The 25,012-nt window shown below is 43.8% G+C and overlaps 1 long non-coding RNA gene across 5 annotated transcripts in view, besides 1 other annotated feature; it reads left to right on the plus strand.

Annotated features, from left to right (window-relative positions):
* Window positions 1-25,012, plus strand: part of LINC02751 (long intergenic non-protein coding RNA 2751) — a 152,600-nt gene that overhangs the window by 84,294 nt on the left and 43,294 nt on the right. For 3 of the 5 annotated variants that reach the window (NR_169502.1, NR_169503.1, NR_169509.1), the window contains one exon: window positions 6,801-6,969. The exons of 1 other annotated variant lie outside the window; for it this stretch is intronic. This is a non-coding gene — a long non-coding RNA (long intergenic non-protein coding RNA 2751). Of the gene's footprint in view, window positions 1-1,229; window positions 1,471-6,800; window positions 6,970-25,012 lie in introns of all 5 variants that reach the window. One more of the 5 variants, NR_169508.1, reaches the window with a different exon arrangement.
* Window positions 13,248-13,337: a silencer, noted in NCBI's record as "silent region_3179". NCBI's record gives its function as "represses an Ori minimal core promoter by ATAC-STARR-seq in GM12878 lymphoblastoid cells {active_cell/tissue: GM12878}" and the evidence as "EXISTENCE:reporter gene assay evidence [ECO:0000049][PMID:35858748]".

The raw sequence follows: 25,012 nt of genomic DNA on the forward strand, positions 1-25,012 counted from the left end.
TCATTTCTGAAATAGGCATCTTGTACATACACATGAAGCCAAAGTGCCTTTCCTCTTAATATATTCCAAAGAGAAATTATTCACTACGACCCTCTGGACAAAGGCTGAATAAAGAATTTTCCGCTTACCAACCAACTGAAATGCTCTCTCTCGCATAGAGATTTCCTGATTTCCTGTGAATTAAAGCTCCAGAATAGGGGGTTTCTAAGTCTCTTTAAACGCTGACATTCTATGAATCTATACTTTTCAATTCCAATTTGAAAAGAGCTGAATCCCAGGATAAGAAAGCCCTGTTTCTTGTCCAGTGAGGCAGTCACAGGAAATTTCAGCCCAATGCAAAGAACAACTGGTCAACCATGAAGACTGTGTGACATGACCATGGATTAAAATGTCTCAAGAAGTAGTGAGCTCCCTGTTACTGAAGGTGATCAAGCACAGACTGGACAGCCATTTTTAAAAATAATCAAAAGCTGTGGTTCTAATTGTATTTGTGTAAGGAGACATCAGAATGTTTATATTGCTTCCAGGAATTCTGATGCCCTCCCCAAGACAGGCCATGCAGAAAAGTGGAATCTGTCCCTGTATTAGGCAAAAAAAAAAAAAAAATATATATATATATATATATATATATTATATATATATATATATATATTTATGCATTTAACAACAAGTGAGCACTTACTATAAACAAATTAAAGTACTTTCACATCTTATACCTTCCTTTATCTTAGTGCCAATAACTCCTTTATACAAAGGGAAATCAAAGGCTTACAGATTTTGCTCTAAGTCACTCCCAACTAGTAAGTATCTGAGTGGTTCCTTCACTTTCAACTCAGCAGTTCTTTTCATGTTCTTGGCGACCTTCTTTCTTTCCTTCCATCATTCGTTCATTTGTTCAGTCTGTCTGTCATTTGATCTTCATCCTTAATGAAATCTCTTTTAAATATGGGGAAGGATAGGCATGTACTAGCATCTCAACTTACAGACCTTAAGACTGGGTGAGAATTAAATTAGATAATATATGTAAAGTTCTTAGAGCAGCATCAGGTACCTGAAAAACACTCCATGAAGTCTAGTTAATATGATTATATGGGGAGAAAATACATGAAGCTTTTGAAATTGAGCCTGAGTTCAGAGAATCTGAGATGTCTGGTCAGAAAGAAACATGTAAAAAGGGTGAGAGGGCAATGACCACAGCCCCACATCCTTGAATCCTGTGGTTGTTTCAGGAACCCCAAGGAGCATGAGGACATCCTGAACAGAGGCCACCTCAGGAGAGCTGAAGGAGCAGGAGAGCAGCCCTGGTGCACCCTGCCCAGGCTCAACTCCTCCCGCAGAACTAAGCCAGGGCTGAGAAGTTCCTTGAAAGAGGCTGCTCTTTGGAAGCCTTGCACATTTCTGAAGGCTGCCAAGAGAGTGTGTGGCTGAAACCAGAGTGAGGACCCATGCTTCCTTGAGGTGGAGCCCAGGGTAAGCATGAGATAGAGAAGTTAATCCTTTCTTCCTGCTTTGTGCTCCCACACCCACTCCTGATGGCCCTCTTGGGCAAGAGCTAAAACAGCCCAACACAAACTGTCTCTCATGAGTGGCTGACATCTGGTCTCTAGAAAATACTCAAGTAATACTTGTCTGGCAAACTCCTGGAGTACAGGTCACACCCAGCAGCTGACCACTTTCTCCTTGGCTCTGAGGCCATGACAGCTAGCCAGTCTAGTGTAGGCCCATTTGAATTCTAAAGTGTGTCAGCCCTGGCCACCCTACAGCAGGGGATGAAGAGCAGGCTCTTGGCATGGTCTTCTTCAGACCCCTCTCCCTTGCCTTGCATGCATGTCCTCATGGAAAAATGTGCTGTGTGAGCAGGTTAGGGGTGGGTGGGGTGGGAGAAAATGGAATATTTTCTGAAAGAAGATCCTTTTCAGCAATTGTTTTAAAGTTGAGCCAGGCGTGGTGGCTCACATCTGCAGTCCCAGCACTTTGGGAGCAGGAAGATCGCTTGAGGTCAAGAGTTTGACACCAGCCTGGGCAACATAGCAAGACCCTGTTTCTAAAGAAAAAAAAAAGAAGAAGAAAGAAAGAAAGAAAGAAAGAGAGAGAGAGAAAGAAAGAAAGAAAGAAAGAAAGAAAGAAAGAGAAAGAAAGAAAGAAAGAAAGAGAAAGAAAGAAAGAAAGAAAGAAAGAAAGAAAACTTAGCTGAGCATGGTGGTATGTGCCTATAGTCTCTGCTACTTGGGAGGCTGAGGCAGGAGTATCACTTAAGTCCAGGAGTTCCAGGCTGCAATGAGCCATGATCACAACATTGCGCTCCAGCCTGGGTGACAGAGCAAGACTGTCTCTAAAGATAAATAAATTAGTTAATTAAAGTTATGTGGATAAGGTAATTCTTAAGACAATACTAAACAGAGATTAGAGGTAGTGAAATGAAATGTATCATTGAAGCATCCAATGAAAACCAAGAAAGAAGTGGAACAGGTGGTCTGCCTTTGAATGTGCTTGCACTTGGAATAATCCACAGTACTGGCACCCGCTGATGCTGAAGGCTGGCTCTTCCTGGGCCTGGACCCACATGTCCAGACCCAGGTCAGGAGAGAAGCACCTGCTGGAGTTTCCCCTGAACCTCTGCACTTGGCCGCCTTGGAGCCACTGCTATTACAGAGGCAGTTTTAAGGACCCCAGATAAAATATTTGACAGAAAGGGAAGAAGCATCAGCATCCACAGTTGAGCCTGTGCTTCCCAGGATGCCAAGGGCTTTTTATACAGAATTTCTTTTCAATAGGAAGGCAAAAAAGACAATTTCATGCCATCCTCAGTGCAGCTTGATGTCTTACTTCACCAGATAATATTTTTTGCTCTTCTCTCTTCATTGCTCTATCTGCCTTGAATGTCCTTTTCCTGGATCTCCACATTTCAAACCCCACTGTCCATGTAGACTTAATCCAAACCCCTACCCTCTCCATAAAGCCTTCTGTGGTTCCTCCTCCACCACTACTATGAGCCACAGTCAGAAATAACTTCATCACATACTTACTCATTCTGTGCCATAGCTTCCTCGTCTGTAAGATGGGCATAATAATAATGCCAATTCCATAAGATTATTGTGGGAATTAGGAAGAGCACTTAGAATTAAGCTTAGCATATAAATAAAGTTTAATAATGATAATGATAATAATAATTGTAGTTGTTGTCAATGGATATAATTTATCTCCTTTGCTGCACTGTAGGATTTTGGAGGCAGGGCATGAATGAGGTCTTATTCATCTCTGAATCCAGAGGCTAGCAGTCAGCCTTGATGCCCAACAGATACTCAGGCTCAGTAGAATGTTTGATGAATGAGAGTGGAGGAGTGTCAGAGGCCAGCGACAAGAGCGATCTTTGAGCCAACAGACTCCCCACTCATTAACCCTCCATCTGCCTCGCCATCTTTATGGGCCACCTATCACTATGCGGCTATTGTTTAAAGCCGGCCAAACTATCCTGGTGCTGGCTGCTGGCAGCCTCGGCTTCAAGCAGCCGCCAGAGAGGCTGCTGCGTAGGCTTACAGCATCATCGAAGCTGCCTTTGGGGCTCTGCTTCTCAGGGGCTGGTACAGATGAAACCTGTGCCCCTGGCAAAGTGGGGGCCTGGTCTTTCTGCAATCCCAGCCCTGCTTGGACACCCATTACGGCAATGAGCACAGTGCATTTGACTTTTTGCCTTGTCTCTCACGCTTCTCAACATGGACGGTTCGTAATGGATGTCAGACTTTGAATTTCTTATCATGTTGTTTATATCTAATAAGTGAATTGCCCTGTTTTTTTAAAAGTCAGCTTTTAAAAATACTGTGTTTGAACATCTGTCAAGGGCTGGGGATTAGCTGAATAGGCACTGGATGCCAGGATATTATATTCTCTCTTATCCTTTATACTGTAATTATCTTGATCCTCAAACAACTCAGCACCAGTTACAACCACTTTCGCAGACTTGTTGTTGCTGCAAATTCAAAAAATTATTTTATTTGAATCTAAATTAAACTGATATGTAACAAGGTTTTTTTTTCATGCTAAGTCTCAAAAAACAGTATCTGCAGATGATTAAAAAACAGTAAAACACGGACAATTTCAAAGTTTATTTCAAGAATAAACTCATGAAAATTCATCTAATTATGCAGCAGTGTACCAAAAATAATCTTTTCCAAACCTAAATTTGTTTAACAAAACACACAGTCAGCTAAGCCAAATGAAAGCAAACGTGTGTTTATGCCATAGTCACCCCCTCCCCCTGGCTGCTCCAGTGGGCACGAGGGCTTGGCAGGGTCCTGAAGCCTGTTGGCGGCTTCTGAGTCCTGACACTTTGCTTGCTGGTGTTTCCAACGAGCGGGCCATTGGCTCCACTGATCACAGAAATGGACCCTGTTGCTGCTTGTGTAAGTGGTCTCTGTTTCTGGAATGTGGAGAGCTGAAGCAGGGAGGACAGAGTATTTTACTCTCAACGACTCGGGGGGAAAAAGAAACTAGTAAAACATCATGCACGTAACTGCAGGCAGAGTAGTGCTGTGTCTGCCAATGATTAATAGTAATAGTGAGAATAGCTACTGTTTCTTGAGCCCTTGTGCTGCACCAGGTATTCATTTAAGAGTCTCACATTCTTCATTTTTTCAACTGACCCATGTAACAAAATAACTGGGAGCCGGTTGTCATGACCCCTACTTTACAGATGTAGAAACTGAGGTTTAAAGGGAAATAGCTTGTCTAAGATCACACAAGTAATTGGCTGAGCTGAGATTTGAATCTGTCTGACTTCAAAAGCCATGTGTTTAAACTGCCATAGCATACTGTGTTGGCTCAGCCCTGGGCCAGCTTCTGGGAAGGAGCAATCCAGCAATCCATGGGAATCCCAGCTCTCCCCTTCTAGACAAGTTCCTGGTTACTTTCTGGATCTCAATGTACTCATCTGTAAAGTGGAGAATGCAATACTTAAGACATAGTAAAAATTCAAAAAGTCATAAAATATGATTATTCAGTTAGATGATACACCCTCAGAGGACAGGAAGTATGTTTATTTTGTTCGTAATTGTAACCTTAGTACCCCCCATAATATCTCACAGTGTTTGGCATATAAGAGAGTAGGAGTGAAATCATAGCTTCCTTCCTATAACTTGTTTACAGCTTATTTGGAAAGAAAAAAATGAGTGTGAGCAGATGAGAGAATAACATGTGAACATGTCATCACAGAGATGTTAATTAACTGCCAGATTGGTGACCTAGCAGTAATGTCATATTGGAATTGTCCCCACCAGGCATTAGAAAATTGGGTTCTGGCCCCAGTGCCACAACTTCCTAACTGTGCAGGTTTTTGAACTTCTCTGAACTTCTGTAGGAGAGGAATCATAATGATCTAACTTCTCTTTTCTCCTGTACTATTGTCAAGTCCAGAAAATACTGTCACGTGCTTTATGAAATGTCATGACCATCATCATTTTTGGCAAGGAGAGCAGGGAAATGAGGCTGAACTCAATGGAGGAAATGGCTGAAGGTCCCAACCATGAACGAGGAGCCACATTTTGCTATAGATTAGAATGTATTCCAGAAGGAAAACTAAAATCAAGGATCTATGTCAAGTTCAACTCCTGTTTGCAGAGGCCTACAGCATCCTGGGGATTCTCTCACTTTCACTTGCCAGTAGCAATATTAGGCACTCACTAAATATTTTTAAAGTCAAGTTCATTTGCCCTAATTGGAACAATAGAATTGAATTGTATTGAATGCAATGGCTTCAAAAAGCCCTATTAAAATCCACCTGCCACCCAGTCACATAAAATCACCAAATAACTTTCTTCACTAAGTTCCATGGTCTGTGCTTCTGCTGTATCTTTTCTCTAACTGAGGCAGAGTGCATGAGGAAGGCATGGCTTCTGGAAGGGAACGGTAGGAGGGCACATGCATGGATATTAGGAAGAATTTTTCTCCCCCAGGAGCAAGAACCTAGAATTTCTAGGGAAACAGAAAGGAGGCCCCACAGCCCTCAAATTTACTGGCACGTGCTTCCCTAAATCACCTTAACAAGTGAAGCTCTTTTAACCTCAGCATTCATCTCTTAATTCACCAGACATTTTCGGTCCTTGCTGTGTGCCTGGCACCATTCTAGTCTATGGGTCTTAAGGCTTTTCAGATTTTCTATTTCTGTTACTTTGGCCAAGTCCCTTAAACTTTCCTATCCTCAGTTTATATATCTATAAAAAAATAGACATCATTTGTTATGCCTCCCAGAGTTTGTAGGAGGAACAAATAAGATGAAAATACTTCACAGGCTATCTGACATTTAGCAATTACTTTAAAAGAAATGGTCATTAAAGAACTAAAGATGTTTTTAAAAAAGAAATAAAGGTCGCTGGATCTAATAATGTGATGTCATGGAAAGAACTAGTTATAGTTGGAAGTTGGAAGTTGAAAGTAATGCATGCACGTGTAATAAAAGGACCTGATCATGCTAGTCCCCTGCCTGAAAACCATCCACTGCCCACCATCCACTCTCAAGGAGCCCCAAGTCCTGAGAGCCTAGCCACCTCTCCAGACCCATCCCTCACAGCCCTGCCCCCTGCCCCCAACATATACCCTGCTCTTCTGCCACACGTGGATTTGATTGGCTAGTTCTTGAAGAGAACATATTCTCTCAGGCTGCCCTGCCTTTGCACAGGCTATTCCCTCTGCTTGGAGAAGCCCCAGTAATTTGGCAAGAGCTCGCTCGATGTCAGCCCCTCTGGGAGACCTCCCAGTTTTGTCTTTTTATCAGGACTGAGTTTTGTTCTCTCCTCTGATCCCTGCAGCACTTGGGCAAACAGCTGATAGGAGTTCATTTTGTGAAGCTGTCACGAGTTTTCCAGTAGACCATGAGCTTGCTGATGGCAGGAGCCTGCCTGTCCTTGATCCTTGTTTCTGTGGGGTCTATCCCAGTGCCTGGCACAGTGGCTTTGGAGATGGAAGGAATAGAGGGAGGTAAGTGGATGGGCAGGAGTTCAAGTGCTCTATTCTTAGAGGGGGCGTGGGGGTGGGTCTAGGATTGGTCACTATGAATAACCTGGAGAAATTCTGAAAATGAAACAAAACAAAACACACATATAGTTCCTGCCTCCCAAGATTCTGCTGTCGTATGGGCCCCAGGCAAAAATGGATTTACCTTGCAGCTAGTGGAGTTTATACTTCAAGACCCTTCACTTGCACAGCTTGTTCCAGGGACTTGGGAGAAGCTCCAGCAATTCCCCTTTTTTTAAGACAGGGTCTTGCTCTCTTGCCCAGCCTGGAGGGCAGTGGTGCCATCTCAGCTCACTGCAACCTCCACCTCCCAGGCTCAAGTGATCCTCCCACCTCAGCTTTCCAAGTAGTTGGGACCACAGGTGGCAATTTCTTATTCATAACTTTATATGTATACTTTAAAAAGGACTCTCTATATGGAACGAGTTCAGGCCCCACAAAACCTGGATCAACCTCTGGCCCCAGGATCCACAGTTTCAATAAGCTTGTCAAGTGATTCTGATACACAGCCAGATTGGGGGATGACTTGCTACTCAATGGATAACTCACAGACCAGAAGCATCAGCAAACAACATGGGTGGGCAAGTTGGAAATGCAGAATCTCAGATCCCATCCCCGACCTACTCTCTGTGAATCTGCATTTTAACAAAATCTCTGGGCTGATTCATGTGCAAAAAATTCATATTCAAAGTTGAGAACCATTGCTGTAATGATTTCTCTGAGAGAAAAACTATTTCCAGCTGTAAAATCACAGAGGCCTTCTTGGAGGAGGTGATCTCTGAACTGAGACTTAAAGTAGAGGCAGTATTTGGGTATGTGTATTCCAGCAGAAGCAGCAAGCAGCATCAGTAGAATCCTGGAGATGGGGAGTATGATGAGGGGTTAAGTAGACCAGGGTCTTCGGGCTGGAATCAGAGAAGACAACCACAGGCAAGTTGACTCAGGTAGGAGGGAGAGAGGGAGGGAAGCTGGGGAAGAGCCCACGTGCTGGGTTAAGGCCTTTGGATTCTAATTAGGTAGGAATGTGGAGCCTTGGAGTTTGGGTCCAGAAGATATGAGAGATCCAGCTGCAAAAGCAAAACATCCCCTGGGAGAGGGAAGCCAGTCATAGTGTTTATTCATGCTCAGGTACAGATTATTTATGCCCAAGCCTTGCCTGGAAGAAGTCAAAGAAGGGAAGGGGCAGGAAGCCAGAAGCGAGACTGAGAATTCATGAGGGAGGTACTCATATTTTTTCCCACTCTGCAGGGTTGGTGAGAGTCTCAACAGCACTCCCATCCTTGGCACTGTGCAATCAGGATATTTGCTGACTGTGGCTTACAGAGGGGAAGGAGCTGGGTGTGGTCCAGGTTGAGTCCTGTGAATTCTGATCACTCCTGCTCCCTGCAGGCTCTACTTCTGCACCTTCCTGTGTTCAATTCATTCCTGCAGCCCCAACAAAACCTACCTACAGGATTGTTAGAAGGACTAAAGGGCATAATACAGCAAAGTACCAGAAATATATTGGGACCTGAAAAAATGCATGTAATCCTTTGAAGCTTGAGTCAGAACTCATAGTTCATCCGCTTCTCTATGCTATCATGAGGTTCAATTTCTAACAGATGAATGCTTAATCATAAAATGCCCCACATACCAGCTAATACGAAATTCATCATTTGGCCTTAGAGTGGGTTTTGTCAAGGCTTGATGTCATATACACACTTTAATAACACACATCAATAGTAATTTAATGAACATTTACTACATGTTGATCACTGTGCTAAGCATCTCATTTATTCCCATCATAAGATGACGAAAGGGAAGCTTGGAGATGTTGAGTGTCTTGCTCAAAGTCCCATTGCTATTAAGAGGCAGAGTAGGAGATAGAAGTCAGCACTAGGGTGAGATCAAAGCAAGTATACACCTGCGAAGCCTCGTATGGGTGCCACAGGTGAAACAGGTTTCATCTGGGAATGTACATTTGGCTTCTTCTATCCCCTTTTCAAATGCTAGGAAAAGTCAACATCACATTTCATATAGATGGAATTGTAGACTCAGAGTCAGAGACAGAGAAAACATAAGGATGATCTAGTTCAATGCTGCTCCCTTACAGATGCAGAAATGGAGGCGCAGAGAGGTTGCTTGACTTTCCCATGGTAAAACAGGATGAGAGTGTCTTACCTCTTATAGCTTATACATTAAGATAAAAACAAACATATAAAAACACAAGATTATCTTGTTTTGTTCTATCCTCATTTCTTCACATCCTGTGCCAGACATCAGCTCCCTCCTTCTCTTTCCTTTTTCTTTACTCATTTATGTATTGGTTCAACAAATGTTTATTGATGCACTATTGTGAAGTTACATTCAGGGAAGAGACAGGAATTTAGGAAGAATAAGTAATATAGAGCAAGAGAGAAAAAAGAAAAGTAAAGAGAAGAACAAAAAAAGTAACAGAGAAAGAAGTAGAGAGAGAAATAAATACAGAAAGAGAAGGAAGAAAGGAAGGAAGGAGGGAAGGAAGGAAGGAGAGGGAGGGAGGGAGGGAGGGATGGAGAGGGAAGGAAGGAAGGAAGGACAACATCAACTGGCCACTTTCTATTGGATAGACACTTTTCCAAGCATTTTACATGTATTAACTCATTTAATTCACCCAGAAACCCTATATGGTAGTCACTATTCTTATCTCCAATTTAGGATGAGGAGCCTGTAGCACAGAGACCTGAAATAAATCACCCAAGGTTGGAGGGCTGGAAGGTAGCAAGGCCAATATGCAAACCTGGCAGATCTGGCTCTAGAGGACTTAGTTGGGATCTATGCATGTAATCGTGTTGTAATGTCCTCCATTTGCCCTGATGGCCACTGGAAGTGGATTAGATACTTACAGTAAGAGCAGTATTGCTCCTGAGAGTCTTTATCATCTTTTCTCAGTGGAGAACCCTCATCACGATTTGTCATGGACCATCAGTGCCTAAGATGCGAAGGGAGAAATGTATTGCACATAAAACCATCAAGCAGAGGATCCTGTAAGGGAAAAGGATCATGGAATTTAGAGCCATGGGACCCAGGGTTTAGCTGTGTCCCTGCCACTCCCTAGCTATGCCATGGGATGAGTCAATCCATCTCTTCAACTGTCTGGCTCCTCATGTGGAAAATGGGAATTATAGTTGATCTGACCCTATCTACTTCAGAAAATCAAATTAAGGTGAAAGAAGTTTACAATATCAAACGTCAAAACCAGTGTGAAATCAAACACAACCACCAGTCTTTCTCTCCTTAATTTTGTGTAGATGTTTATTAAAATAGAAAGAAAGAAGCTCTGTGGGGTTGGGCGGTGCTGAATTTAGAATGAGGATGATGGAGAAAACCCAAAAAGGAAGGCTTAGGTGATGAGCTTCCAGTGGGTAAGGGGAAGAAGGTGGATTATTTAGGAAGAAGCAGAAAGGGCCCTGTGGATAGTTAATTGTCTTTGGATAAATGGATGGTTATAGTCATTCATTCATTCATTCAATTAGTATTTATTGAGTGCCTCCTATGTACCAATGACAGTGCTAGATACTGGGGTACAGTGGTTTAGAGAAGAGACACAGTTCTGGTCCTCATGGAGCTTGCAGTCTGCAGAAAGTCAGACACTGAACAAAGATGCACAGAATTTAAATGCATAATAATAAACTGTGACACATGCTATGAGACCAAGGAAAATAAGAATTTTCTATAAGAGAGAAAAACAGTATTGGGTAGGTGAGGACACACTGAAGGACTCAATGCCCTAATTAGTCAATGCCATAATTATGGGAATAATTCCCATTCTTCCTCCCCACCACTCACCAACTGCTATTTGAAAGGTCATAGGTCTCTGCTCCATACAGGCATGTACTATTTTAATTCAATAAGCAATCTTTTGAGTGCCCAATAAAAATATGTGGGTATATCCCCAGGCATCAGGTGTCAACCTGCCTTCATAGTCAGCCCTGGCTGCAGCCCCCTTTGATGGGATCCCTGCATATCATTTTTATTCCTATTTTACAGATTTAAAAAATGTTCACAATAGTTCAATGATTCATCCAAGACAACACAGCTAGAAAGTCCAGACCAGGGTTTAGGACTTTTGATAGCAAATCAAGGGCTTTTTCTGTTCACACAGAATAAAATCCTAACCCCACCAGGTCCAGGATGTCATGTCTTTGCCTCATCTCTTGCTACCTTCCCTCTTCTTTACCCTGCTTCATCCACACAGGCCTTCCTAGGATGCAAAAAGATTTTCCCTGCTTCAGAGGCTACGCATCAGCTCTTTTTTCCTATGTCTGGAATGCTCTTCCTTGATTTTTTACTTGGCTACCATCTTTTATTTTTAAATCAGCTTTATTGAAGCATAATAATAATAATAATAATTATCATTATTATTATTATTATTTTTGAGATGGAGTTTCACTCTTGTTGCCCAGGCTGGAGTGTAATGGTGTGATCTCAGCTCACTGTAACCTCTGCCTGTCAGGTTCAAGCGATTCTCCTGCCTCAGCCTCCCAAGCAGCTGGGATTACAGGTGCACACCACCAGGCCCAGCTACTTTTTGTATTTTTAGTAGAGACGGAGTTTCACCATGTTAACCAGGCTGGTCTTGAACACCTGACATCAGGTGATCCACCCACCTCGGTCTCCCAAAGTGCTGGGATTACAAGCGTGAGCCACTGAGCCCAACCTGAAGCATAATTTGTATGAATAAAATTCACTCCTTTTCAGGGTTCAGTTTGATGAGTTTTGACAACTTTATAAATACACTTAGGCAACCACCGTTACATTTCCATCACCTTGGGAAGTTTCCTCCTGCTCCTTTGCAGTCCATCTTTTGCCTATACCCCAGGCATCCTTTTCATATAAGATGCAGTCCATCTTTTGCCTATACCCCTTCCTCCTTTTCATCTAAGTTTCAGCTTAATTATCGCCTCTTCAGAGGCCTTTAGAAGCAATGCCTTCCCTGACCATCCAAAAGCTCTCTTCCATGCTCCTCCTCCTTCATTCTCTTTCAAAGAGTCTGGCTGTTCTCTTTCTTGCACTTACTACAAGATGTGCCCATTTTATCGACTTACTTGTTTGCTCTATTTCTGTCTTCTCCAAACAATATAACCTCCATAAGGGAAGGGTCGTTGTCTTTATTAATGCTTGTAACCCCAGGGCACAGTGCTTGGCACATAGTAGAATAAATATTTATTAAATGCATGAATGAATGCATGGATAAGTGGTACTGCATCCTTCTGTGTGCAAGTAGCTGAGGATTCATGGCTGAATCAGAGATGATTTCTATGCTTATGGAGTTCACAATCAAATGGAAGTCTTGTGACAGGCACACAGATAACACCGACACAGATAATCCCTAATGCTTGGATAATGCACTACTATGCACGTATAAGCCATTTACTGTGTGCCAGGCCTTGTTCTAATTCCTTTGTATATATATATTCACTCATTTTATCCTCATGGCAACCGTATATGGAAGTTACTACTGATATTGCTGGTTTAAAGATGAGGAAAACTAGGAGTTTTCCTAGTCAGGCTGAGTCACTTACCGCAGATAAGCTAGCTTGTGAGTGGAGAAGTCAAGATTTGGGACCATGCTATTTTGCAGGGCTGCCTGATCCATGCCCCAAGAGAGGGTCACATAAGGGATCCAGAGAATACGGAGAAAGCTGAAGGCAGGCCCAGCTCAGACTCAGGTCAGACTTGCAGGGCAGGCGAAGTTCTAACTCTGGAAACTGGAAACCGGGACAATTGTCTCTGGAAGCCCTACATCAGGTCCAGTTCAAGCAGCCAGAGACAGCCCTCCAAACCCAGGGGCAGGATTTTCAGGCCTCTAAAGGAGACTATAGCCGGATGGGGAGGGAGTGGCTTGCCCTCGTGCCCCTGTGTCCCCAGGGGTCCAGTTACCCCAGTGACAGTGCAAGCCAGAGCATCAGGGCTTCAGGTGGCCAGCTGAGTTGTTCCCACAAGGCTGCAACACGTATCCGGAACACATTGGGAACTGGGGCTCCAGGCCGAGAGGCCTGAGCGCCGCCTGGGGATCTGGTCCATCTGGGTGGCAGCTTCCCAGAGGCCTGCCGCGCTCGGCCTGCAGTTCTCCGCTGCGGACGGTAGGTGGCAGCGGGTCGTGAGAAATGGCCCTCGCCTGGCCCTGGCTGCGGAGACCCAGCCTGGAGAAAAACGTGGCTGGGCTTCGGCCGCCGAGCGAGGGAGAACCGCGCCCCCGGGGTGGGGCTTGGGGGCCGCCCTGGGACTCGGTGGCTTCTGCCCGAGCGGAGGTCAGCGAGGACCCGGGAGGCAGCGCCTGGATGGAGCTGGACGGGGAGGGCTCTGCTGGGGCTCCTGGTCCCCATGCGGCTGTGCTGTCATGGGGAGCCCTGGGGACCCTGGCACCCTCGTGAGGGCCCAGCCCGCCGACTCCTTAGCCAGAACTTGTGCCCAGCGTGGGAATTTTCTTCCTGAGCAAACAACTTTTTTTTTTTTTTTTTTAACTGAGGAAGAAACTGCCCTTCAGAGAGGTTAAGGGACTGGCTGTGGCCACATGGCTCTTGCGTGGCTGTGCAGTTATTAAAACCTGGTCCTGTCTGACGAGAATCGTGCTTTTTTCCACTGTGCCAATACCCAGTGGGGGATTCCCTGGTGTGAGCGCCTGGGGATAACGGGGGTGTCTTCTAGTCTGCATTTACAGTGAGGAACTCGGCTACGCCAGGGTGTGGCCATGGGCCCCCGCTCCCAGGCACTGTGCAGTGAGGGGGTGGCTGAGACGACCGCTGGATGGCCTTGGAGAGCCCTAATTCCCTCCCAAGCCCTAACTCTCCAGGCCCCCTGCCCTGGCAGCCTCTGAGCATTAAATCTGACCAGACCTGCCCCTGCAGGGTCTGAACTCCGGACGCCCCCCACCTCTGTCTACCTACTCTTATTGTACTGGATTTCAACCCGTCTCCCCACCTCTGACATTTGAAAGCACTTTTACTCTCGGGAATTCGTTAGCTCTTTACAACCACCCCGTAAGGCAAAAAAAAAAGAAGGGATGTTTACATTTACAGAAGAGGAAACCGAGGCCTCAGAGAAGTGATTTGCCAAAGGGTACCAAGCAAGTTCGCGGCTGAGCCGGGTCTTGAACCTTAGGTCTTCATAGCTGCCTCCTGCGACAAGGCGGGAGCAGCGCTGGTGCAGAGCTCTGGAGCGGCCGGCAAGCCGAGCAGCGGAGGCCCTTCCATGCCTCTTCCTCTCCCGGAGGCAGACGGGGAGCGGCCGACAAATTAATTCACGCTATCTTTACATTATGTATAATGCGGCATGATTTTATTTTGCTTCATTCCCGAAATCTTTTACAGTAATTAGTAGCGGAGTAAAATATAAAAATTAATGCAATATAACACTTTAATGGTAATAATACACTATCCTGTCTAATTAATAAAATCTGTTGTTTCCAAGCACGATTATTTATTTGACAAATTGATAGCACACATCCTGTTCATACCCTCTTTCCTAGCTCCCATCCTTTCAGTTTATCGAATAAAACTGTAGCAGGAAAATAAACAGATTGTCTTCTGACCTGACAAGCAAGTGAGAAATAAACCTCTCACTCATACATCCCTAATTGTTCTCAGCAATATCCTCTAACACATGTCCAGATTGCTTAAAAATGAATCTTGATTCCTCCCCCCCGCTTTTTTTTTTTTTTTTTAAATTGCGTCTCCTTATTTTAGAGAAAAGAGACCTTTCCTCCCTTTCCTCTGGGTAGTGTTTATATCGGGGCAGTTGGAGGGATATAAATTTTGTGACTGTGTTCAGAAATTCTGATGGCCTTGCTAACAGAGTGAGGCGATTGTTCAGGCCATGCCAAAGAGAGAGAGAGAGAGAAAGAAAGAGAAAGAGAAAGAGAGGAGGTCCGGGCTGCTCTGAGCCGCTGCCGAAGAACGCTGAACCCATCGCGAAGGCTGCAGGAGAGGATCAGCAAGGGAGCAGGGAGCAGTGAGGTTGCAGGATTGTCATTGGGAGTTGGCAAAAACGAAACTGGGGAAGGGGTTAGGGCAGGATACCCAGACCTGGCAGTATTTGCAGGTAGTACTAGGGAATAAGGAACAAGGTCCAGCATCATTATGTGTGGAACTTGGGATGAAACAACGATCTAATTACAAACCCGAATGCATGCTATTTTATGTAATACGGGGGCATTTTACATGCCAAGTGTGAAAATGCGAAAGCATTTTAAGCTATAAATAGGGCCTCAGAGATAGAGATACAGAGAGACATGGAGACAGATGGAGAAAAAGAGAGAGTCAGACAGAGACAGAGAGAGCACGCGAGAGCAGGACAGAAAGAGAGAGAGACTTACCATCTGCAGGTTATTTTGCAGCACTTTTCTCTGAAAGAAAAATTATGTGATGTGATCTGTGTTCGGGGAAAAGCTATGCTATCCTCAGCTTTCAAGCTACATTTACTATAATAAAAAAGGAAAAAAAAATCTCCAAGTGCACACAGGTGAAAAAAGTCACCCTCTCATGGAAACTGGCCTCAATACAGAAAAAGAGATACACACACACACACACACACACACCCCTGCTTGCACAATCCATGGATGAGTCTCCAGAGTCCTTTCTTTTGTATAGAAAAGTTCTACGATCTTATGGGCATTAGGTTCAACACACATACACACACACACAGACACACACAGGCACAATGCAGATATGTGCACATACCACCACTACACACACACCCTTTTGAGCCCAGGCCCTTGAATCAGTGCAGTCATGCCCCATTGGTGAGACTCCCCAGGCCACTTCCTGGGCCACCACAGTAATCCCTACCTTCCACTGAAGTCTGAATACTCTGATTTTATTACCCACCCCCACCTTTCTCTCTTGATCCATCTCCCCATCCCCACCACCATTGTGCTAGTGCATTATTTTAATAATAAAAATAATAATTTAAATAAAATTCTTCCAGGCTGGGCGCAGTGGCTCACGCCTGTTATTCCAGCACTTTGGGAAGCTGAGGCAGGTGCATTGCTTGAGCTCAGGAGTTCAAGAACAGCCTGGGCAACATGGTGAAACCCCATCTCTACCAAAAATACAAAAGATTAGTCAGATTTGGTGGCATGTGCCTGTGGTCCCAGCTACACGGGAGGCTGAGGTGGGAGGATGGCTTGAGCCCAGGAAGCAGAGTTTGCAGTAAGCCGAGATCACGCCACTGCACTCCAGCCTGGGCAAGAGAAAAAAAAAAAAAAAAACTTCCATAAAATAGGTGCTGACTCCAGTTTTTGCCAGCACACAGGTATGCAGAAGGTGACCAACAAGTTTGAATACTTTACCTTTCTGAAAGTGCTCCCCTATGAATTGTTTAAGGGCAAGGGTTACTACACTCACTTTATAGATAAGGAAACAGGTCATTTCTTTCTGAAGGGAAACAACTGGGATGTTCAGTGAAAAATCTTTACTGAACACTATGGGTGGGTCAGGTACTATTCAAATGCTTGATAGGCATTATTTCATTGAATCCTCAAAATAAATGTATGAGATGGGTCCAGTTGTTACCCTCAGTATTATAGATGCAGAGTCTGATATTCAGAAGGTTTATATAATTTGAGAAATTACACAATTATACAGTGCGTATATAATAGCACTGGAGTTTGAACCCACACCTGTCTGGATTTGAGGTTCCTAAAGCCATGTTTTAATTCCAGCTCTGATATTCACTGGCTGTATTACTTTGAGCAAGTAACATTTCTGAGACTCGGTTCTCTTAACTATAAAATGAAGATGAAAATTCTCACCGCTGATATGAAGGTTAAATGTGACATATATATACTGCCCAGCAGAGAGTCTCAGCAGGGATTAGGAGTTTAATCAAGTCTACTCTTCCTTTCATTTTTACTTTTGTCCATCTTGCATTAGCCACTCCCCAGAAGTTACCTGAAAGATAACTCAGTTTGTTGGGGCTACAACCAGTTGACAGCTTGGGGCTTCAAGCCTTTGTTTCACCATTTGCAAGATAAGGAAATAACAGCTATTCATGAGGATAAACTGAGTTAAAGCATAAGCAGCCAGCACAGTGCCTGGCACATGGACGGTGCTAAAATAAATATTTGTGAAAGAAAAGAAGGGAGGGAAGAAAGAACCAGAATAATGGTGCCCAGGTATTCAAGAACTCGCACTCAGCAGCTCTTAGGGCCCGGGGATTGGTCCCACCAGGCTCTGCCAAAGGTTGAGTAGGAATGTTCCTGCAGATGGTGAATGTCCTGTGGACCTGCTCAGTGCTATTGATCAATGTGTTTTATGATGGATCTAATTAAGCTCTCTAACGAGGGATCACAAGATAACAATTTATCCCGGAACCATCACTCATTAAAATGCCATTTCAGGAGATGACATCGTTCCAGCCTTAATTGGCAGAGTTTGCGTGACTGGAATCCCTTGGGAGCAGAGATGCCCCTTGTCGTTTGCTTGTCACCTCTGTGGTGAGAGGGGCTTAGAACAGCCCTGAAAGGCACATGAATTTGTCAGGTATTGCCATAGCCCAGGCTCCACCTACCCTGCTGCAGGTGGCTTTCTGGAGCGGGTGACTCAGCAGGTCACTGACAGGAGCCTGTGGCTGTGCAGAGGCCCGGTTTTGGAATAAGAAACCCAGAACTTTAGTCAGCTCCTGGAATGACAAGGCAGGAAGACTTAGGAAGTGACCATTCCCATCAGCCTCAGTTTCCTCTTCTATAAAGAGGCCTTCCCTGCCTGCCTCCTGGGTTGGTGGAAGATTTAAGGAGATCATGGAAAGGCTTATAGAGCAGTGGAAAGAGCACAGACTTGTAAGTGAGATTCTCCAGGTTCAAATTCTTGTTCTTCAACCACTGGCTGTGTGACTATAGACAAGCTACTTAGTGTCTCTGAACGTTGGTTTCTTCAATAATAGTGCCTAACTCAATAGGATTCTTGGGAGGATTTTAAGAGCTTTATAATCAGCTTGGTTTCTGAGGATCCCAGGGACACAGAGATGAAAAGGCATGGGGGTTTTCTGAGAGAGCCTGTAATGCCTTAGTATCAGAATAATAACTGTGTCACGACAGATTACAAACCCAAAGAGGACCAGAAAAAGCTATGGTGGCTATACCCACAAGGGAGGAGGAGGCATCTGAGCTAGATCTTGAAATAGAAGACCTTTCCTAGTTGCAGAATAGAGGAAAGGGCATCCCAGGATGAGTGAGCCCTCAGCACAAATAAGCAAAGCACCTGAGGTTGGAGAGAGTTCGTGCGTTCAGAATGCAGTAGTGCTCCCTTCTCCGTGGATAATGCCTGAAACCATGGATAGCACCAAACCCTGTATAAAAGACGTTTTTCCTATACATATTCCTATGATAAAGTTTAATTTATATATTAGACATAGTAAGAGTTTAACAACAACTAATAAGAAAATAGAATGATTATAACAATATAATAAAAATTAGGTGAATGTTATCACTCTTTCTCAAAATATCTTATTGCATTGCACTGTAAGTTAAACAAGGGTTACTTCAACACAAGCACTGTGACAGTCGGTGTGATAACCCAGAGGGCTACTAAGTGACTATCCGGCAGGTAGCATATGCACTGCACAAAGGATGGTTCATGACCTGGGTGGGGCCAAGATTTCATCACACTGCTCAGAACGGCATGCAATTTAAAACTTGGGAATTATTTATCTCTGGAATTTTCCATTTAATATTTTCAGACCACAGTTAACCACAGGTAACTGAACTGTGGAAAGCTGCTGCGTCATCCCATTGCGGAAAGGCGGAAGGGCAAGCAAGCAGGTGCGGAAGATATCGCAGTGCTCCAGAGCTCCCTTTTTACAGCAACCCACATTTCACTCCTGTGGTAATGGCATGAATCCATTCAGGAGGGCTCCACCCTCATGACCCAATGTCCATCTAAAGGCCCCACCTTGCAGCACTGCTGCATTAAGAATTAAGGTTCCAACACATGAACTTTTGGGGGACGTATTCAAATCGGAGCACCTTGCAAAGTATTTGGATTTCCTTATGAAGGTCACTGAAACCTCACATTGGGTGAGTTTGATGAAGTCTCATTATAGAGCTTGGACCTCAGAGGAGGAGAAGGGAGGAAGATACAGGTGCTTCTGCCAACAAAGGTGGCTTGGAGCCTTCAGAGCAGACCTCATGTTTCCCAGGACCAGGAAGAACAGGGCCCCCGTGTCCTAAGTGCCATAGACTTGTCAGGAGCATTTGCAGAAACCAAGATGGCAATGGTGCCTTGAATTTTGGACTGCTTTCCTCCCAGAGAAGGAGACTGGGTGTGAGGTGGAGGGAATTAAAACTTGTAGAGCTGCTATCATGCATTAGGGGATGTAGCATTCGATTCTCACAACACTCACCATCAGGTATAATTGTCCCCATTTACTAAATGATGTGTTTGGGTCTCAGAAAGGGTTAGTGACTTCTCCAAGGTAACCTGCTAATAAGAGCAAAGTCAGGATTTGAGCTGTGGTCAGTTGGTGCCAAACCAGTGCTTCTATCACTTCATGCTGTCTCACTAAACATTGTCACATTTAGGACCTCCATTCCTCAGGTTTGAGATGTGGGTGATTTAGCTCCATCTTTCAGAAGGGGAGCTTGAGACCCAAAGAATTCTTCAAGAAGCACCTTGCTCGTGGACACTCTACATGAGATAACTTTCTGATAGAAAACAGAGATGCAGTTTTGATCCGACAGCAATGGTATTGAGGAATGTGTTTTTCCTGGAACTCTGGGATGGATTTTATGGCCTGATTCCAATTTGCCTTTCCAGAGGCCATTAGCCTCTGCTCATTCCTGACTCCTGGGGCAGATGGGAACACTCCTGGGTCTTTAATTTTTGAGAGGGTGTAGGAGGGGGCTGATGCCATTTTCCTATTGCATAATAAAATTATTTCCTTAACAAAAAAGGGGGATCCACAGTTTCCAATTCAAATGCTTTTTTAAAAAACAGGGGGGAAAAGTAGCAAAAAATAGTCGAAAGAATGCACCCCTAAATGTGAAATTGTTCAGAAATACATATTTGTAATAGGATTCAAAGTGTTCATGACAGCTACTACTTACAGTGTTTAAAAAGTTGCAATTAGTACCAAAAGGCTTGGATGAAGAAAACATCCTATCATAGGCATATTTATAAAACAACTTCCATCAGCCAAAGGAAAAATGGACAGAACTCTATTACAAGCTTTTTATATTTGAAGAGCAATTTCTAATAATATATCTAGAAGCCATTTCTGAAATTGACTTAGTGTGCATGATCTGGGATTAATGTTTTCTGCAAAATCACATGCTCGTTTGAACGTAAACATTTTGCACTTCCGTTCCACCTCCTGGTTCAGAAGAATGCACCTCCAATGTGTAAAATGATCTATCAAAATTAATTGTGAATGCCCTAATCCAATCAAGTCCACCTCATTAGGCAAACATTTAAATTATTAAGTTAAATAGTGGGATATTTCAATATAATCTTGTTATGCTATTTTTATGGCAGTACAAATGCTGTCTACAGATGGGCTCTGCTTCCCAGCTTCCTTGCTATTGTTGATGAGCTCGCCACCTCTGTTGCTGGATTTCACACGTGTGTGATATTGGTCTAGTCACAATCCTGCATTCCCTCGCTACCTCAGCAATTACTGATGGAGCTCCTACTATGTGTTAAAATTTGAAGGCTAAAAAAGACCTTCAGGATAATCTAGTCATCACTTTTGCAGATACAGGAACTGAGATTCTGAGAGGTTGGGTGCTTTTTTATGGACCATGGAGCAAATTTGTGGCAGAGCTACTGGTAGAACCTTCTCTTCTTGATTCTGCATCCAACCATCTGCTTTTTTCTTCTTTCCTTGTCCATTTCTCTCTCTAATTCAAACATAAAGATGTAAATAAAATAGATCAGATTCGTGCTGTTCATATTTTATATCATTAGTATTTTGCAAAATTATTCTTTTTCCCACCATTTAATAAAAGATATATTCCCAACCTGGTTGCTCTTCACAGAGCTTTAAATAGCTTGTCCTTTCTAAATTCCTCCAGCTAGCAAACAGCTATTCATCATTCCATAGTTCCTTGAAGGCCAGCCCAACAGAGACATGTTTGGAAGAAATAAGATCTTGATGTCTCAGCCTCCAGCCCCTAAATTAGTCTCTGGGTATGTGGATATTGAGAGGAGGAAGAACAAAGGAGTAAACAAACAGGAACTAAAGCGGGCTTGAGGTCTAGCCATGACCAGGGTCCAGATGCCCATATTGGGATCCTCTTGGGAGCTAGAGAACACAGTCCTGTCCTCAGCAAACCCCTTGCCCTACACCCCAAGGGAGTTATGTCTATGCTGTCTAAAGATTCAGATTTCACACTGACTCTGAAGGCAGGTCTAAGGAACCTTTAGACTTTACCCTACTTTTGGGAACGAGGTGAAATGAAGAACTTCCCAGTGTTCCCCTTTTACTCTCTGGTTCAAATGTAGACAGGATTATTTATACCCCGAGGCATGGCTGAGACAGGGATAGAACTATCAAAAAGATATTCCGAAGGGGAACTAAACTTAGAAAGTGCCATGAATTCGAATTATCCGCTCTGCAGGTGGCTTAGGCCCCAGGAACACGGTATGACCTTAGTGGGCCCTAGGTACTCTTATTTTCTTGGGCTCTTTCTTCCATTTAGATAAGTAAATAAACAAATTATATTTTATGACTACATTAATATAATGAAAAAATATTAATAGTATAAATTAAAGCATTTTCTTTGACCTAAAATGTCCTAAAATTCTCTGATTTTAAGAGAATTAAAACATTTTTGTGGGCCCCCTAAATGTTTGTAGCCCTAGGCACTCAGCCTACTGTGAATAATAGAGCAGCCATGCCAGGCCCAAGGAGAAACAGCCTCCCATTCTGCCTCCATTTGGCAGATGGATTCTGATCAACACCAACACCCTGGAAATATCTAGCTTCCTCAGATCTGGGCAAGAGAGAAGAGCCTTAGCTCCTGTCCTCTCACTTTCCATAGCCTGGCTGGGGACAGATTGAAAACCCTTGGTGTAGGGAGAAGTCACCCTCCTTAATACCATTCAAACTCAGGTGCTTCAAGGTTATCACTGGAGGAGAATGAGCTTTGTTCTTTGTTCTAACAGTTTTATTCCTTCTGCCGGCATTACACTTGTCCTATGTGGAACCACATTCTTCATACACTAAAACATGGCTCAGTCAGGGTTAGAACTGTCAAAAAGACCTTCTCAAGGGGAAAGCAAATACAGAGAATACTGCAAATTCATGATGCAAAAGGGCCCTTCAGAACAGAGGAAGTGGGTACATGAGGCTCTGCAGAAGAACCTGAGTACCCCTTGTTTTAAAGACTGTAGAAATTGAAACTCTTACATGCTGCTGGTAGTGTCTGTTGGTGCAACCACTTTGGGAAACTGTTTGTCAGTATCTATGAAAGTTGAATATATTATATGTGCCTCATGTCCCAACATTTTTACTCCAAAGTATTAGATTGAGCCATATGAAATTATCAGTGTTTAACTTTTTGATCTACAAAAATGTCAACTTAATTTGATTCAATTTAATCTACAGCCAACAGAAAAACATACATATGCTCAGCAAAAGTCATGTATAAGAATGGTCTAGCAGCACTATTCAAAAGCTGGACACTACCCAAAAGCCCATCAACCATAAAATGCATAAATAAATTGTGGTTTGTTCCTATAATGTACATGCAATGAAAATAAGGAAAATAAAACTCCATACAACAACTTGGCTGGATCTCACAAACACAATGCTAATTGAAAGAAGCCAAACACAAAAGGATGTATATTGTATGATCCCATTTATATAAATTTCCAAGAGCAAACAGTACTAATCCATGATGCTAGGAGTCAGAAAGGATAATAGGTATGGCCCTAAAAGGCCATTGAGGGGCATTTTCTTGATCTAAGAGCCAGTTTTATGGGTGTGTTCACTTTAGAAAACTCATCAAACTATAACTTATGATTCGCACACTTTTCTATATGTATGTTTTCCTTTCTTAAAAAGTTTACTTAAAAAAAACAAGAAGGATGCAGAAGAATGCAGGCAACTGTTTGGGCAAAGACAACAGCAGGTGGCTTCAGGAGGGTCTACCCTCCTGCCCTCCAGTTTTTGTTGTGGATTTTTTGATCACTCACTAATATGGGCTCTCCTTAATCTCACTTACTCTCCAGCCCAACATCAAGGTGGAGCCTGTTGTTGTTCATATCCGGTGGATGGAGAAACTAAGGAAACAGATGCTTTGAGAGTCTAACTCTCCCAAATGCACACAGCCATTGTGTGAGAAGCCAGCACCTGACTCCAGAACAGTGTCTCTCCCAAGCTCTCACTCTGCAGGTCCGTGATCCAGACTCAAAGTAATTGGGATCATGTGGGACACCTGGAAGTCACAACTCCCTATGATTTGGATGCAGATCCCACCTCTCTGGATCCTGCCCATCTGTAGATAGCAATTGTACTTCTCTAGAAGAAGGTTCCAGTTCTCATCCCTGCCCACCAGCATGGCCACCTATGAACCTGTGAAAACTCTTGGTCGGGGACAGGGCCTGGTGACTGCAAGTTGCTCACTCAGTCTGGCAAAGACATGATTTTTTCTGTGTTCTCTGACAAGTCCAGGCTGGCCTGCCTGGGTGTTGCCATCCCTGTGGCATCTGCCGGGGACATCCCAGTTCTATCTTCTTGTGCTTACTGCTCTTTCTGACTTTGGTTCTGAATGACCCTGTAAAGGTGTCTGTGTGGGTTTATGTGGAGATAGAATATATGGAAAATGATGCAGCCCTAGGCCACAACAAAGGCGAAACTCAGCCTCTGCCTTCTTCTCTGACCAATAACTCGACCTTCCCCAGCCCCAGCTCTTCCCATAGCACTTTTAAGGTGAGTGTGGGAAGAAGTGCCAAGAAGAAAAGCAGGAAAGAGTGTTTTCTGAGGGGGCAGTGGGAGTCTGTTCACGTGCTCTTCCCCTTTCATGTATGTAACACCCCTGGGAATTGGGTATCGTCATCCTCGTGGTATTGCAAAGGCATCTGAGGGCCTAGGAAAAATAAATGCATGGGCTGCTGTTTTTCTTACGTGGGATGGTGATGCAGGCAGAGAAAACTAGTGAGCACCTAGGGGCAGCCAACCTCTCCTCTGTCATGGTTTGCATTCAATACTCTTGGGTGTGGACACACTCATAGATGGAGCTTGCTGTCTACTGATCTTTGTTCAGGTCATGGCCGCAATTAGTACCATTAATAAGGCACATGCTGCTTTTCTAGAAGAATGAAGAAGGGAGCCATTACCTTCTGTGAGGGGCAAAAGACATTGTATTAGCAGGTGAGAGTTCTGGTTCCAGCTCACCCATTTACTCTGTGTGGCTCTGGAAAAATTTCTCCCCCTCTCTATCCCTTAACTTTCTCATCTGTGCAATGAGGGAATGAGATTTGTTGATGTCTGAGGGTCCTCCCACCTCTAGTACTCTGGTGTCTTATAAGGAGGTTCTCTTTGATCTGCACCATGAGGTATTGACACCACTGAGGAATACTCTAACTTTCCCCCAGGACTGAAAAGACAGGAAGGAACTTGTCTCCTTGGCCTCTGGCTCTGGTGGGCATCTGAGTGACAGAGACAGGCACAAGCCTGGTCTAGAAGGAATGAGGGACAGCCAAGTTCATGGGTAGCTGAAAGGTTCTGTGGACCAGGAGCCACCCAAGTCATGGGGTGTGGACAGTTAGAAGGATCCAAGAAGGTAGATTCTGAAAGGGGAACTAGAATAGCACCGGATTCATGTCCAAACCATTGCTGCAGCCTCTTATTTTATGTGTGCACTTCCTGGCCCTCACTCACCCCAACTGTTTCCTATAACTCAGGGGTTCTTAATCTGGAATTCCTGCCCTTTGAAGTTGCTTGCAAAACAATATGTATAGGCGAGTATGAGCATTTTCCTGGGTGCAGAAGCTTCCATTTTATTCTCAAAAACCTTAGACACACACATATACACACAAAGCTAAGA

This window comes from Homo sapiens, chromosome 11 (genome assembly GCF_000001405.40).
Source record: "Homo sapiens chromosome 11, GRCh38.p14 Primary Assembly".
In the NCBI taxonomy this organism is placed as follows: Eukaryota; Metazoa; Chordata; class Mammalia; order Primates; family Hominidae; genus Homo; species Homo sapiens.